Below are 16,882 nucleotides of genomic sequence, written 5' to 3'. Positions count from 1 at the left end.
GTTTAGTGCTTTTTACATCTTCTCTAAGACACAATTGCCTACCCTAACATCATGAAGATATTCTCCTATGCTTTCTTCTAACCATGTTGGCCAATATGATACATTACCAATATGTGGCTATTTAAATTTAAATTAAGTAACGTTCAAAATTTGGTTTCTTAGTCATATTACCCATATTGCAAATGCTCAGTAACCACACATGGCCAGTGGCTATCTAACTGGACAGCACAGACACATTTCCATCATCACAGAAAGTTCTACCAGCCAGTGCAGTTCTAGGAGCTTTTACTTTGAAGACACGCTCCATATTGAGATGAGGTAATCTCATTCATTTTTTTTTCATATGTTTATCCAGTTAGACCACCACTGCCATTTAAAAAGATTTTTCTTTCAATTGACCTTATACAAAAATCACTATATTACTACATGCTACTAATGAAAAGGTAACTCCATTCACAATAACATCAAAAAAATAGAATAGTTAACAATACATTTAACCAAGAATGTTCCAGACCTGTACTCTGAAATTTTCAAAACATTACAAAGGGAAATTGAAGAAGACCTAAGTATATGGAGATGTAGATCATGCTTGTGAATTGGAAGATTTCAGGTAGAAAATCATATAACCATAGACATAAGCTAGGCAGTTTCCTTCTTTCAAGGGCCAAAAGCCCTTCAGTTTCAGTCCCCTTGCTAATCCTACAGTCTAGCCACGAAGGATGTGACAGCCCCCAATGTACTCAAGACTGCCACTCTCTGTGCCTTCGCTTGTGCTGTTCTTTCTACCTGATAGGCCCTTCCACCAGTCTGTCTGTCAAAATAAAATACCTTCTTCACTGTCAACTCCAATGTCACTGATGCCATGGAGACACTCTGATCTCCCAATGGGAAGAAATCTGTCCCTCCTCTGTGCTCTTGCCATATTTTACTAACCTGCTCTTACAGGATGCATCCTTTTCTGCCTTGTGTCAGGGCTATTTTGTGTATGGTCTTTCTCTTCTATATACTGATGTGCTGTAATTGGATTCATCTTTGCAACCCTAAAAGAGCTTTGCACTAATTAGACCTCAGTGAGCACTTTATGAAATACCATGTACTGAACAGCTATATCTGTGGGCTTGTCCAAAGCCCTGATTCCTATGAGAGGCACAGCTTCTCTGGTGTTAGTGAAGTGCTCCTACCTCTGTGACCCTGAAGACAAATCAAGACAGAAGGATAGACTCCTTCCACTTCCATTTGCAGAGGGACAACACAAGTAATGCTCTGGATTATTCCACTAGCAATTTTCCAGATTTTTGATGAGATTTTACAAATGAAATACCTGCTGCTGTGCCAATGGTCTTAGCATGCTGACAACTGTCTTCAGTTTGCCCCACTCATGAAAAGTGGTGGGCAGATCAGCCTGTGGGCACCTGATATTTCCAGCAGTCACTTCCAGTGGGCTTTTAAAGATACATATGCCTGGCCAGGCGCAGTGGCTCACGTTTGTAATCCCAGCACTTTGGGAGGCCGAGGCAGGTGGATCACTTGAGGCCAGGAGTTTGGGACCAGCCTGGGCAACGTGGTGAAACCCTGTCTCTACTAAAAATACAAAAATTAGGCTGGGTGCAGTGGCTCACACCTGTAATCCCAGCACTTTGGGAGGCAGAGGTAGGTGGATCACCTGAGGGTAGGAGTTCCAGACCAGCTTGGCCAACATGGAGAAACCCCATCTCTACTAAAAATACAAAACTCAGCTGGGCATGGTTGTGGGCACCTGTAATCCTAGCTACTCAGGAGGCTGAGGCAGGAGAATCACTTGAACCCAGGTGGTGGAGGTTGCAGTCAGCTAAGATCGTGCCACTGCACTTCAGCCGGGGTGACAGAGTGAGACTCTGTCTCAAAAAAAAAAAAAAAAATTAGCTGGGTGTAGTGGACACCCAGTCCCAGTTACTCAGGAGGCTGAAGTGGGAGGATCACCTGAGCTTGGGCAGTTGAGGCTAGCAGTGAGCCGAGATCGCACCACTGCACTGCCACCTGGGTGACAGAGTGAGACCCCATCTCAAAAGAAAAAAAAAAATAACTCCTGAACAAAAGTTATAGACTGAACCAGACACATAAAATAGATTTTCTACCCTTTCATAGCAGTAGATACCTCAGAACGACAGGGCTTCCTCAGGAATCACTCACTACATCTGCATTTTGCCATCTAGTTCCTGTGGCCATGGTCAATATCAAAACTTTTGAACAATGACATTTCCCTGTTGTTAGTCTTTACTTCCATGTACCCATTCTTTAATGAGTGCCATATTCAGGTAAATTGCTATTCAAGATAGAATATAATTCCCATTTTTACAAGGTCCTGAGCAATCCTGCACTGGCCCCTAAGTGAAGAACAGCCCCACCTGGATGAGATGTACTTAACAAAGGCTACAAAAGGAGGGTATGTGAGGCACGTAATGTCTGGGGTTTGATAATTTTTCAAGAAGTCCGAAGTATTCTACATAAAAATGTGACCCAAGCTTTTCCCATTACTCTCTATCTGGCAGATTTATGATAATGGGGCCATAATGCTTTAACAAGACAGCATGCAGAGTAAATGGTTCCTTAGCTCAGAAAGCAGGAGGAAATGCTTCTTTTATCTTCACTGTCCTTAAAAAATCCAGAAAAGAGATCCCCTGCCTGCCCCACCATACAAAAGCAAATATTCCATGGAAAAAATAATCCCCATCAAAGCTGCCTCTTAGGCCTAAAAGCTTTTAAGAAGGGTGATGTCAGCTTTATAACAGTCTTTCTTCCTCTGCAGTCTACCTTCTCAGTGCTCACCAATACCTGCCTCTTTCCTTCTGGATACACAGAAGACTACCCTTCCCAGCCCTGGGCAGTCAGGTGGGTGTGGCTAGTTCTGACTAATGAGCTGTGGGAGGAAGGGATGTGTGCTGCTTCCGGCTGAAGAATGGAGGGGCAGCCTTGAGATCTCCAAGTGTTTTCTTACCGTGTCATAGCAACCTAGGAGGCCGCGTGGTGGGGAAAGGGCAGCTGCAAGTGGAGATGTTTCTGTCTGCCCCTTGCCAACCTTAGCAGACATGGAGTTTAAGCAAGAAATAAACCTTTGTTGTGTCATACCAAGATTTGAGGATTAACTTCTTACTGTCTGACAGCCTAGCCTAGCACATATTTCCCCCGTTAACAGAAGCCACTAAGTAGTTAGTGATTCCAGAAATTCTCATTCTAGCATGATCCCAGGTCAAAAAATTCAGGGGAAAAAAATACCCATTTTATTGCAGTGTGATTGGCCCTGTGCAGTTAAATGGATCTCAACTCCTGTCATCCAGTACATTAAAGGAAAGTCCAGCCAGGGATGGCAGATAAACATTCTCTCTCAGGTAAACTGTGATTGGTTCCTGGTGGCTGCCTGGAGATCTGTTTTGAAAATGATTCTCAGGCAAAATCTTGGCTATGCAGGGAAGATGATGCAGTCCATTGCTGATGTCTGTTGTGGGCACGGGCACAGGGAGTCAGGGCACAGGTGGTGTTATCTGTCATCCTGTGATTACTACTATCAAAGGGAAGCTCACACACTTCCATGTGTCAGCAATTATGAGATCCTAGGGAGCCATTTGGCCCTGGCCTGAGATGTCTCCAGGGAGAAAAATATTAAATTCAGTGGTAGATCCAGCACCAGTCCATTCTGAGCTTGCAGACTTACTCAGGTATCTTAACCATGCTGTTGGAATCATGTTCCAAAAGGATGCTGTTGATGTTCTACTTTAGGAAGTAACTGTCTTAGTGACAAACCACCCAGAGAGCCAGATATGTAAAGCAATCAGAATTCAAAGGTGTTGGTCCTTCTGACCCATCACCAGGATTCTCTACCTAGCTGCCATTCTAGATTCATCTTACTGTTTCACTTTGAGACACAGCCAAGGTGAAGCTGGGATAGAATAAGGCAACATTTTGAAAGTGTAGATATAACGCTTAGGGTCTGGGTATCCCATGGGGAATGGGTTCCTTTTTCTTCTCCCTCCTACTCTTTACCTAGACTCTTCAGCTCACACAGTGACTCATCTTTACTGAGGGATGCTCTGAGCCCAGCTTTTGCAAGAAGCTCCACAGTCTGCTCACTTCTGTGTTTACAACAGGGATGTCCAATCTTTTGGCTTCCCTGGACCACATTGGAAGAAGAATAATTGTCTTGGGCCACACATAAAATACACTAACACTAATGATAGCTGATGAGAAAAAAAAAAAAAAACACACACACACACACACAAATATCTCATAATGTTTTAAGCAAATTTACGAATTTGTGTTGGGCTGCATTCAAAGCTATTCTGGGCCGCAGGTTGGACAAGCTTGGTTTACAATAATCCCAGGAGGCAGACACTTCTTTATTTATATATAAGGAGTCTCAAGCACAGAGAAGTTAAGAATCCAGGCCAAAGTCTCAATAAGTAAACCTGGAAATGTTTGAGTCCAGAGCCCCGTGCTTGGCACAGTATGTGATAAAAACAAATAAACAGAAGTAATCATCATGGTGGATGGGAGGCAGGACTAGATTGCAACTCCAACTTGGATGGACAGAGCAGTGTGCAGAGGCTCACACTGAATTTTAGCTCCAGATCCACTGCAAGAACAAACCAGCAATCCCAAGAGGACCCACAGACCCTCTGAAGGAAGCAGATTGCTCCTGCAGGACCCAGGAGATACCCCAAATACTGTGGGTGCCCCAACTGCAGAAGTGGGAAAGGGAGAGCCTCCTCTCCTGAACACACATCCCCACTAGAGAAACTGAAAGTCTCTTTGTGGGAGAAGTTTCTGACCATACCTGGAGCTGAGTCAATTTAGAGAGCCGAGTGAAATACAGGGGTAGAGGAAGAAGAAGAAAGGCCCTGGGCGCTCGCTGGGTCCACAAGCAGGCCATTCCTGCCTAGCACCATAGGAATATATAGGCAGGGCGGCCAGAGGAGCCAGGGGATCAGGGGGAGAAACACCACAGGGAGAAGGAAATCTCCAGCTGAACTTTGTAACAATTTGAATGGGGCAAGAAGCCTCCTGGCCAGAATTCGGGGAAGGACACGAATCCAGTGTGCAGACTCCATAGGTGGGGAATGAACCAAGCCCTTTTCTTTTGCAGCTGCGGGGAGGGTAGCCTGGGGCAAGTTCTCAAGTCTGGCTGCCCATTGCCTGGAAACAGATTAGGGGCTGTTAGTGGGGACATGGTGGGAATGAGACCGGCCCTTCGATTTGTATGGGAGCTGGGTGAGTCCTGTGACTGCTGGCTTTTCTCCACTTCCCTGACAACCTGCATGACTCAGCAGAGGCAGCCATAATCCTCCTAGGTACACAACTCCATTGACCTGGGAGCCTCACCCCCATCTCCCACAGCAGCTGCAGCAAGACCCACCCAAGGAGAGACTGAGCTCAGACACGCCTAGCCTTGCCCCAACCCGATGGTCCTTCCCTATCCACCGTGGTAGCTAAAGACAAAGGACATATACTCCTGGGAGTTCTAGGGCCCTGCCCACCACCTGTTCCTCCCCAAACTACCACAGCTGATGCTCTCTGGAAAGCAACATGACCCGGCAGGAGGCCAACCAGCACAAAAACAGAGCATTAAACCACCAAAGCTAAAAACCCTCACGGAGTCCATTGCCCCTCCCTACCACCTCCACTGGAACAGGCACTGGTATCCATGGCTGAGAGACCCATAAACGATTCTCGTCACAGGACTCTGTGCAGACAACCCCCAGTACCAGCCCAGAGCCAGGTAGACTTGCTGGGTGGCTAGACCCAGAAGAGGGACAACAATCACTGCAGTTCAGCTTACAGGAAGCCACATCCATAGGAAAAGGGGGAGAGTACTACACCAAGGGAACACTCCATGGGACAAAAGTATATGAATAACAGCCTTCAGCCCTAGAGTTTCCCTCTGACAGAGCCTACCCAAATGAGAAGAAACCAGAAAACTAATTCTGGTAATATGACAAAACAAGGCTCTTTAACACCCCCTAAAAATCATACTAGTTCACCAGCAATGGATGCAAACCAAGAAGAAATTCCTGATTTACCTGAAAAAGAATTTGGGAGGTTAGTTATTAAGCTAATCAGGGAGGCAACAAAGAAAGGCAAAGCCCAACACTAGAAGTCTAAAAAACTATACAAGAAGTAAAGAGAGAAATATTCAAGGAAATAGATAGTTTAAAGGAAAAACAAAACTTCAGGAAACATTGGACACACTTATAGAAATGGAAAATGCTCTGGAAAGTCTGAGCAATAGAATTGAACAAGTAGAAGAAAGAAATTCAGAGCTCGAAGACAAGGTCTTCGAATTAACCCAATCCAACACATTGAAAAAGAATAAGAAAATACGAAAGAAGCCTCCAAGAAGTCTGGGATTATGTTAAACAATGAAACCTAAGGATAATTGGTGTTCCTGAGGAAGAAGAGAATTCTAAAAGCTTGGAAAACACATTTGGGGAAATAATCAAGGAAAACTTCCCCAGCCTTCCTAGAGACCTAGACATCCAAATACAAGAAGCACAAAGAACACCTAGGAAATTCATCTCAAAAAGATCATTGCCTAGACACACTGTCATCAGGTTATCCAAAGTTAAGACAAAGGAAAGAATCTTAAGAGCTGTGAGACAGAAGCATTAGGTAACCTATAAAGGAAAAACCTATCAGATTAACAACAGATTTCTCAGCAGAAAACTACTAGCTAGAAGGGATTGGGGCCCTATCTTCAGCCTCCTCAAACCAAACAATTACCAGCCAAGAATTATTTATCCAGTGAAACTAAGCATCATATATGAAGGAAAGATACAGTCTTTTTCAGACAAACAAATGCTGAGAGAATTCGCCACAACCAAGCCACCACTACAAGAACTGCTAAAAGGAGCTTTAAGTCTTGAAACAAATCCTGGAAACACATCAAAACAGAACCTCTTTAAAGCATAAATCACACAGGACCTATGAAACAAAAATACCAGTTAAAAAGCAAAAACAATAAAACCAAAGTACACAGGCAGCAAAGAGCACCATGAATGCAATGGTACCTCTTATCCAATACTAACATTGAATGTAAATGGCCTAAATGCTCCACTTAAAAAAATACAGAACCACAGAATGGATAAGAACCCACCAACCAACTACCTGCTGTCTTCAGGAGACTCACCTAACATGTAAGGACTCACAAAAACTTAAAGTAAAGGGGTGGAAAAAGGCATTTCATGCAAATGGACACCAAAACAAGCAGGGGTAGCTATTCTTGTATCAGACAAAACAAACTTTAAAGCAACAGCAGTTAAAAGAGACAAAGAGGGATATTATGTAATGGTAAAGGCCTTGTCCAACAGGAAAATATCACAATCCTAAACATATATGCACCTAACACTGGAGCTCCCAAATTTATAAAACAATTACTTATAGAACTAAGTGGGGGACTTCAATCCTCCAGGGAGAGCACTAGGCAGCTCATCAGACAGAAAGCCAACAAAGAAACAATGGATTTAAACAATGGATTTAAACAAATGGACTTTACAAATATATTCAGAACATTTCATCCAACAACCACAAAATACACATTCTATTCAACAGTGGATGGAACTTTCTCCAACATAGATCTTATGATAGGCCATAAGACAAGCCTCAATAAATTTAAGAAAACTGAAATTATATCAGGTACTCTTTCAGATCACAGTAGAATAGAACTAGAAATCAACTCCAAAAGGAACCTTCAAAACCATGCAAATACATGGAAATTAAATCACCTGCTCTTGAATGAGCATTGGGTCAAAAATGAAATCAACATAGAAATTTAAAAATTCTTCAAACTGAAACACAATAATGACACAACCTATCAAAACTTCTGGGATACAGCAAAGGCAGTGCTAAGAGGAAAGTTCATAACCCTAAACACCTACATCGAAAAGACTGAAAGAGCACAAACTGACAGTCTAAGGTCACATCTCAAGGAACTAGAGAAAAAAGAACAAACCAAACCCAAACCCAGCAGAAGAAAGGTAATAACCAAGATCATCAGAGCAGAACTAAATGAAATTGAAACCAAAAAAATACAAAAGATAAATGAAACATAAAGCTGGCTCTTTGAAAAGATAAATAAAATTGATAAACCATTAGCAAGAATAACCAAGAAAAGAAGAGAGAAAATCCAAATAACCTCATTAAAAAAATGAAACAGGAGTTATTACAAATGACACCACTGAAATACAAAAGATCATCCAAAGCTACTATGAACCTTTACGCACATAAACTAGAAAACTTAGAAGAGATGGATAAATTCCTGGAAAAATACAACCCTCCTAGCTTAAATCAGGAAGAACTAGATATCCTGAACAGACCAATAACAAGCAGCGAGATTAAAATGGTAATTTAAAAATTACCAATAAAAAAAGTCCAGAACCAGACAGATTCACAGCAGAATTCTACCAGACATTCAAAGAAGAATTGGTACCAATCCTTTTGACACTATTCCACAAGATAGAGAAAGAAGGAACCCTCCTTAATTTATTCTATGAAGCCAGCATCACCCCAATACTAAAACCAGGAAAGGACATAACCAAAAAAGAAAACTACAGACCGATATCGTTGATGAACATAGATGCTAAAATCCTTATCAAAATACTAGCTAACTGAGTCCAACAACATATCAAAAAGGTAATCCACCATGATCAAGTGGGTTTCATACCAGGGATGCAGGGATGGTTTAACATATGCAAGTCAACAAATGTGATACACCACATTAACAGAATAAAAAACAAAAATACATGATCATCTCAATAGATGCAGAAAGTGCATTTGACAAAATCCAGCATCTCTTTATGATTAAAACTCAGCAAAATCAGAATACAAGGGACATACAGTGTAACAAAAGCCATCTATGACAAACCCACAGCCAACATAATACTGAGTGGGGAAAAGCTGAAAAGTTCCCTCCGAGAACTGGAACAAGACAAGGATGCCTACTCCCACCACTCCTCTTCAACATAGTACTGGAAGTCCTAGCCAGAGCAATCAGACAAGAGAAAGAAATAAAGGGCATCCAAATCGGTAAAGAGGAAGTCACACTGTCACTGTTTGCTGACGATATGATCATCAGCAAACCCTAAAGGCTCCTCCAGAAAGCTCCTAGAACTGATAAAAGAATTCAGCAGGCCGGGCACAGTGGCTCATGCCTATAATCCTAGCACTTTGGGAGGCTGAGGTGGGTGGATTGCCTGAGCTCAGGAGTTCGAGACCAGCCTGGGCAACACAGTGAAACCCCATCTCTACTAAAATACAAAAAATTAGCCAGGCATGGTAGTGTGCGTCTCAAAAAAAAAAAAAAAAAAAAAAAAGAATTCAGCAAACTTTCCAGACACTAGATTAATGTACACAAATCAGTAGCTCTTCTATACACCAACAGCGACCAAGCGGAGAATCAAATCAAGAACTTAATCCCCTTTTACAATATCTGCAAAAAAACACACACAAAAAAACAAAAAACAAAAAAACAAACTTAGGAATAACCTAACAAAGGAGTCAAAAGACCTCTACAAGGAAAACTACAAAACACTGCTGAAAGAAATCATAGATAAAACAAACACATGAAAACACATCCCATGCTCATGGATGGATAAAATCAATATTGTAAAAATGACTATACTGCCAAATGCAATCTACAAATTCAATGCAATCTCCATCAAAATACCACCATCATTCTTCACAGAATTAGCAAAAATAATTCTAAAATTCATATGGAACAAAAAAGAGCTTGCATAACCAAAGCAACACTAAGCAAAAAGAACAAATCTGGAGGGATCATACTATCTGGTTTCAAACTATACTATAAGGCCATAGTCACCAAAACAGTGTGGTACTAGTATATAAATGGGCACATAGGCCAATGAAACAGAACAGAGAACCCAGAAATAAACCCACTTACAGTCAACTGATCTTCAAAAAAGCAAACAAAAACATAAAGTGGGGAAAGGACACTCTTTTGAACAAATGGCGCTGGGATAATTGGCTAGCCACAGGTAGAAGAATGAAACTGGATCCTTATCTCTCACCTTATACAAAAATCAACTCAAGATGGATTAAGGACTTAAATTTAAGACCTGAAACTGTAAAAATTCTAGAAGATAACATTGGAAAAACGCTTCTAGATGCTGGCTTAGGCAAGGATTTCATGAGCAAGAACCCAAAAGCAAATGCAATAAAGACAAAGATAAATAGTTGGAACTTAATTAAACTAAAAAGCTTTTGCATAGCAATAGGAACAGTCAGCAGAATAAACAGACAACCAACACAGTGGGAGAAAATCTTCACAATCCATACATCTGACAAAGGACTAATATCCAGAATCTACAACGAACTCAAACAAATCAGTAAGAAAAAAAAAAAAAAAAACAATTCCATCCAAAAGTGGGCTAAAAACATGAATAGACAATTCTCAAAAGAAGATATACAAATGGCCAACAGATATATGAAAAAATGCTTAACATCACTAGTGATCAGGGAAATGCAAATCAAAGCCACAGTGCGATATCACCTTACTCCTGCAAGAATGGCCATAATCAAAAAATCAAAAAACAGTAGATGTTAGCATGGATGTGGTGATCAGGGAACACTTCTACACTGCTGGTGTAGAATGTAAACTAGTACAGCCACTATGGGAAACAGTGTGGAGATTTCTTAAAGAACTAAAAGTAGGTCTACCATTTGATCCAGCAATCCCACTACTAGGTATCTACCCAGAAGAAAAGAAGTCATTATACAAAAAAGATACTTGCAGACACATGCTTATAGCAGCACAATTCACAATTGCAAAATTGTGGAACCAACCCAAATGCCCATCAATCAACAAGTGGATAAAGAAACTGTGATATATATGGTGGGACACTACTCAGCCATAAAAAGGAATGAATTAACAGCATTTGCAGCAATCTGGATGGGACTGGAGACTGTTATTCTAAGTGAAGTAATTCAGAAATTGAAAAGCAAACATCTTATGTTCTCACTGATACGTGGGAGCTAAGCTATGAGGATACAAAGGCAGAAGAATGAAACAATGGACTGTGGGGGCTTGGGGGTGACGAGAAGGAGGGGGTGAGGGAGAAAGGACTACAAACATGGTGTAGCATATACTGCTCGGGTGATGGGTGCACCAATATTTCACAAATCACCACTAAGGAACTTCCTTATGTAACCAAATACCACCTGTACCCCAATAATTTATGGAAAAAATAACAAATCTGGTTGCTTGCTAACATCTCCGGTTCAATAGAAGGAAGAGATTAAAAATTGCCAATCTGAGATAGTTGAGTGTAGTGGTTAATGACAGGAACTTCAGCACCGAAGAGACTTTAGTTTGAGGTTTGACTCTACATTTTTTCTTTAACCTGTGAAGCCTTAGGCAAGTGTCTCAGCCTCATGTTTCTTATCTGTATTGTGGGAACACATGGAATTTACTTCATCTTCCTGTGAGGACTTGGTGAGATATAAAGTAATTAGTTGACCCTGGAATCAAAAAAAATGGCTCTTATTATTTTCAATGTTGTATCGTCCTTCCCCTCACCCCCTAATTATCATAGGCAAACTTAAAATTAGTTGTTTTCTATTAACATTGGCTATATGGAAAAAACAATGTCCACCTAAGAAGGAAACTCCTGCCAAACAAATGTCAAGTTTGTTAAGACCTAAAGGCCTTTATAACAGATTTATTTCAATGTTTTTCCACATGTTCTGATTCTTTCAGTTTTCTATTATGATATACTGCAACCAAATGCCATATCTTATACTGTGTCATATTGTGCTTAGAAGCATTTAAAATATGGCCCTGAGGGAACATCCATTATTTTCTTAAATGTTATAAAAAGTTATTTTTCCTTAACCTTGTTAGAAGCATTCAGGGTTAAAATGACCCCTGTTCTGTGATTGAGCATTGTTCAGAATAATCATCAAAGACAGACTGTCTAGTGGCAAAAGGGAATTGCCAACTGTAAGGCTAAAAGGCAAGTCTCAACTACCCAGGGTTGCCATGACACCACACGGAAGTGAAGATTAGTCAGGGATCTCCAGAGAAAACAGAACCAACACAATGTGTGTGTGTGTGTGTGTGTGTGTGTGTGTGTGTTTATAAAGAGAGAGTTTTATTTTAAGGAATTGCCTCATGTAACTTTGGGGACCAGCAAGTCCCAAATATGTAGAGTAGGCTGGCAGGGTGGAGACAGTCCAAAGGCAGTGTCCTGGTAGAATCCCTTTTGGCTTGAGGAGGTCAGTCTTTGTTCTCTTAAGGCCTTCAACTGACTGGATGAGGCCCACTCACAGCATGGAGGGTAATCTGCTTAATCCAAAGAGTACTGATAAATGGTACGCTCAACTAAGAAATACCTTCACAGAAACATCTAGAATTGTTAACACATAAAATTAACCATCACAGGAAGTCACATTCTATTTCATGCTAGTGTTCCTAGTCCTAAAATCTCCTGTCTTCTACATCACACACATCTATCTCAATAACCCACAAAACTCCATTGGTTCTTCTGAGGAAAAGGAAGATTAACAGGGTATTATTATTCCCTGACCACTCTACGAGTTGTGCCTTAATCTGAGTTTATTCTAGGCTTTTCTTAACCCTCTTGTAACCCACACCATATTTTCAAATTCGCTGGGCCAATATAATAGAAGTGAAGCATGTGCGAATATTTACAATGACATGAAGAGAGAAAAAGGAAAGCTTGTGTCTTTTTAGTGGTTGTTAAATAGATTCTCAGCCATATGTCTCCAAATGCTTCAATAAAAATGATATTTTCCTTTCATTTAAAATGTTTGTGTTTAAATTTTTTTTTTTTTTGAGACAGGGTCTTACTCTGTCATTTAGGCTACAGTGCAGCAGCACAATCACAGCTCACTGCAGCCTTGACTTCCTGGGTTCAAGTGATCCTCCCACCTTAGCCTCCTGAGTAGCTGGGACTACAGGTGTGCACCACCATGCCCGGCTGATTTTTGTATTTTTTGTAGACACAGGGTTTTGCCATGTTGCCCAGGCTGTTCTCGAACTCCTCAGCTCAAGCAATCCTCTCACTTCGACCTCCAGAACTGTTGGGATTACGGGCATGAGCCACCGTGCCTGGCTGTGTTTACATTTTTTTCTTCCTAGCCCCTGATATCTAGAAATAGCTGAGTGATGGCAAGAACTGTTCCCTTTGCACAGGCATTTGTTATAGTTCAAGTGCAGGCTGAAGAGTGAACAACAGATGCCGGAGGCTGTGACGAGACACAACCATGAAAGAGAGCTGCTGCCAGGCTGTGAGGCAAAAATGAGATACTGAATATAAAAATGCCAGGATTCGGCCCGGCGCGGTGGCTCACGCCTGTAATCCCAGCACTTTGGGAGGCCAAGGCGGGCGGATCACGAAGTCAGCAGATCGAGACCATCCTGGCTAACATGGTGAAACCCTGTCTCTACTAAAAATACAAAAAAGTAGCTGGGCGTGGTGGTGGGTGCCTGTAGTCCCAGCTACTGGGGAGGCTGAGGCAGGAGAATGGCGTGAACCCGGGAGGCGGAGCTTGCAGTGAGCCAAGATGGCGCCACTGCACTCCAGCCTGGGTGACAGAGCAAGACTCCGTCTCAAAAAACAAACAAAAAAACAAAACAAAACCAAAATGCCAGGATTCCTGTGAAACTTATATTCACTCTCCCAGGTCTCTCCCACCCTCCCCTGTCCTGCTCTGTGCTTGGGAAACTAGCCTTTGATGCAGCCTCTGGCTGCTGGTTGTGTTCAGCCAGTGGGGAGCAATGGTGAGAAATGGGAAGGAGGGAGAAGACTGAGGTCTTGGTCTTAACTTTGAGGCTCCTTCCCTGAGAGGTCACACTGGATTAGCTGTGTCCCTCAGCCCAAAGTCACAACTCCTCTCAGCAGACTCCAGGGTTCCAGCTGTGGCCCCACCCCTTGCTTCCTGGGATCTAGGATGGCTGCTCCTCAGTGTTGCCAGCCCTGCTGTCCTGCATGAGCCTGCGTAGTTGCCCTCTTCCCTGTCCATAACTTCCGCACAGCCCCTTTATCAAAAACTTTTTTTCTTTTTCTTTTTTTTAGACAGAGTCTGGCTCTGTTGCCCAGGCTGGAGTGCGGTGGTGTGACCTTGGCTCACTGCAACCTCCACCTCCCAGGTTCAAGTGATTCTTGTGCTTCAGCATCCCAGGTAGCTAGGACTATAGGTGCCCTCCACCACAACAGGCTAATTTTTTGTATTTTTAATAGAGACGGGGTTTCACCATAGCGAGGCAGGTCTTGAACTCCTGGACTCAAGTGATCTGCCTGCCTTGGCCTCCCAAAGTGCTGGGATTACAGGCGTGAGCCACCATACCGGCCAAAAACTCTTTTAATTACTGTTGCCTGCTGGTGCTGACTAATGAGGTATTCAATATTCTCTATTTTCCCTTTTATTAAAAATTTGGTATAAAATATATAAATCCTTTAATATATTTCTGAATTTTTTACAAGCCATTACTGAACAAATACTTTTTGATGTTTCTCAATGTTCTTTAAGCACTCATGTAATACTTTCCTCCATCAATCCAAAGTCCAGCATCATCACAAGTCCTACCATGTTATGAGAATTATGTAAACCACAGTGTTTGCCTTTGTATCCTAGTTTTAAGAAAACTCTGTTAAATTTATTAATCATTGTCAATAGTTAAATTGAGTTGAGTATCCAGGAACAACTATTACTCTGCTTCTTGAAATAATTTTTAAAACTGGTTTTCATCCTATTTTGCCATTGTCTTTTCCACTGTTTTTAATATGGTGAATCATCTAAATCCTTTTGGGAATATGAATAAAATACATTGTAATTAATAAACATTTCAATGTAAAAATCAGGCCCACATCATCATTAAGACTGTAGGAAAGGACCAAGAAACCCAATTTCATAAAAGTCCACTTGAAAATAAGCCCAAGACGCAAGAAACAAAAAGCCAGGAGAATAGCTGGATCCCATCCACGGGCATCTGGGTCCAGACAGCAAATCTATAACCACCCCCTTCTCTTCATCCACGGGAAGCACCTCCGGCCCTGGGTAGTAGTTTCTATTTCCTCAGTCTCCTGTGAGGCTTAAGAGACATTTAGGAACAGCCCAAACTTACTCTTGGTGTGGGGCTCCTGTCTTGGTCAGCAAGGTCAGCACAAAAAACATAAAAATCACGAAGACTGCAAGACCAACCCAAAATCCAATCACAATGGAATCTGAAAGACAGTTAATTCTGGGATTAGTATTTCACAGTAGTTTAAAACTTGAACATTCAAGAATCAGAGCTTTTTGGAGAGGCTTTGGTACATGAAACATGAAAGGAAGTCAACAGTCTGATCCGCAGTTGGCTGGAGACTGATAAGATGTAAAGGATGAGGAGGAGGGAAGAGTCTGCTCCGCCTCCAGGTTTCTGTCTCAGATAGCATGAAGGGATTTAGGCCTCATTGACTCATGCTTTCCATATCTCAAGGAAGGAACCTAGACCAGAGCATAGGTTATCTAGGACCTCAAGATTCCACTAATGTGTTTTGAGTTAGAAAATAAAATTTTTAGCAGACTATCAACTCAAGTTTTAAGTGCATTTGGATTCCTACTGTTAAAAGAAAAACTTTAGACAAATTAAATTTAACAGATATTAACTGTGCAAGGAAAACAAAATTCTTGAACCGGGAAGCTCCCAGAATCAGAATAGATTCAGAGAGACTCTGGGCTGCCTCATGGTTGGTTAAGATTTAGGGACAGAAAAAGGAAAATGATGTACAGAAAAAAGAAGCAAGGTACGGAAACAGCTGGATTTGAACACCATTTGAACAGCTGTCTGCCTGGGAGTGCCTGAAGTGTAGCTGCTGTGATTAGCTGAGACTGAGCTATTGTTACAGAAGCATTGGCTAGGTTTTCAGTTTGCTTACCTAGTAAGCTAGGTCACAGCTCATACCTAAGAATGCAAGTATGCAAATAATGGAGGCCTTCTTGGGCCAAATTTTAGTTTAACAACTCAATTGGTTAGCATCTCAATTAGGTAGCAACTTTGCATTCTCACTTACGTTCACCATGGATAATTCAGGCTCTCATTACTTCTTGCAGAGAACATACAGATGGCCTCTTGAGTGCTCTCTCTGCCTTCTGCCTTTCCCTGTGCTTTATTTCTGTACAAACCTGCTTTAATCACAGCCCTGATGATATTGCTCTTTCATGAAAAGCTCTCCAACAAAAACAGAACTGACCCACTTTTCCAGAGTAAAAGAGATTCCACACATAAAGCACTTTATACAATGTCTGACATCTGAGAAAACAGTACACCACAGGTGCTGGCTACTGTCATTAGAATTGTCATTTTCTCCCAATTTACCACTTTAAAAGCCATGTGTTTCCAATCAAACTAGGGGACACTGTGTCCCTGTATTTACCTTAGCCACAGCTTCCTCACAGCCACACCTTACCAGGGCTCTTACCACTACCTGGCTGGAACAACTTTTCCCAACGTGGAGCTAATGAAAGTGTATCCATCCTTCCAAGTCCATCCGCTACACTATCTACTAAGCCTCAACTAATTTCCATAATTGATGTGTTGTCTCCCTCCTTTGAACCCAATAACATTTTTGTCTGTAATTCCCTAAACAGGGCTCTCCTTGGTCCTATCTTGGATAACAATCACAATTCTTTATCTCTAGGACCAGGGTTAGATTGGATTGTCTACAGAACTTGGTACTTGCACAATAAGGCCTCAAATCTAGGACACAACAGAGTTGAATCATTCTACATTTTTTGGCCTACACTAAGAAGCTTGTCTATGTGGAAATACAATGAGGATGCTTAGCAATTTTCTAAAAATAAGTGATTAGAGCTTAAATATTAAATGTGTTTAAAT

The 16,882-nt window shown here is 41.6% G+C and overlaps 1 protein-coding gene across 9 annotated transcripts in view, besides 1 other annotated feature; it reads right to left on the bottom strand.

Moving 5' to 3' along the window:
• Nucleotides 1-16,882, bottom strand: part of MRAP2 (melanocortin 2 receptor accessory protein 2) — a 113,105-nt gene that overhangs the window by 68,160 nt on the left and 28,063 nt on the right. For 7 of the 9 annotated variants that reach the window (XM_017010220.2, XM_017010221.3, NM_001346542.2 and 4 more), the window contains one exon: nt 15,131-15,230. The exons of 1 other annotated variant lie outside the window; for it this stretch is intronic. In XM_017010220.2, coding sequence (XP_016865709.1) covers nt 15,131-15,230 — 100 coding nt within the window. Of the gene's footprint in view, nt 1-11,384; nt 11,503-15,130; nt 15,231-16,882 lie in introns of those variants that run through there. One more of the 9 variants, XM_047418133.1, reaches the window with a different exon arrangement.
• Nucleotides 4,671-5,171: an enhancer, noted in NCBI's record as "H3K27ac hESC enhancer chr6:84782671-84783171 (GRCh37/hg19 assembly coordinates)". NCBI's record gives its function as "activates a minimal SCP1, AML or CMV promoter by ChIP-STARR-seq in naive H9 embryonic stem cells {active_cell/tissue: H9 hESC(naive)}" and the evidence as "EXISTENCE:reporter gene assay evidence [ECO:0000049][PMID:30033119]".

Source organism: Homo sapiens, chromosome 6 (genome assembly GCF_000001405.40).
Source record: "Homo sapiens chromosome 6, GRCh38.p14 Primary Assembly".
Lineage (NCBI taxonomy): Eukaryota > Metazoa > Chordata > Mammalia > Primates > Hominidae > Homo > Homo sapiens.
Note: the sequence above shows the minus strand (reverse complement) of the source record. Positions and strands in the feature narration are given on the sequence as shown.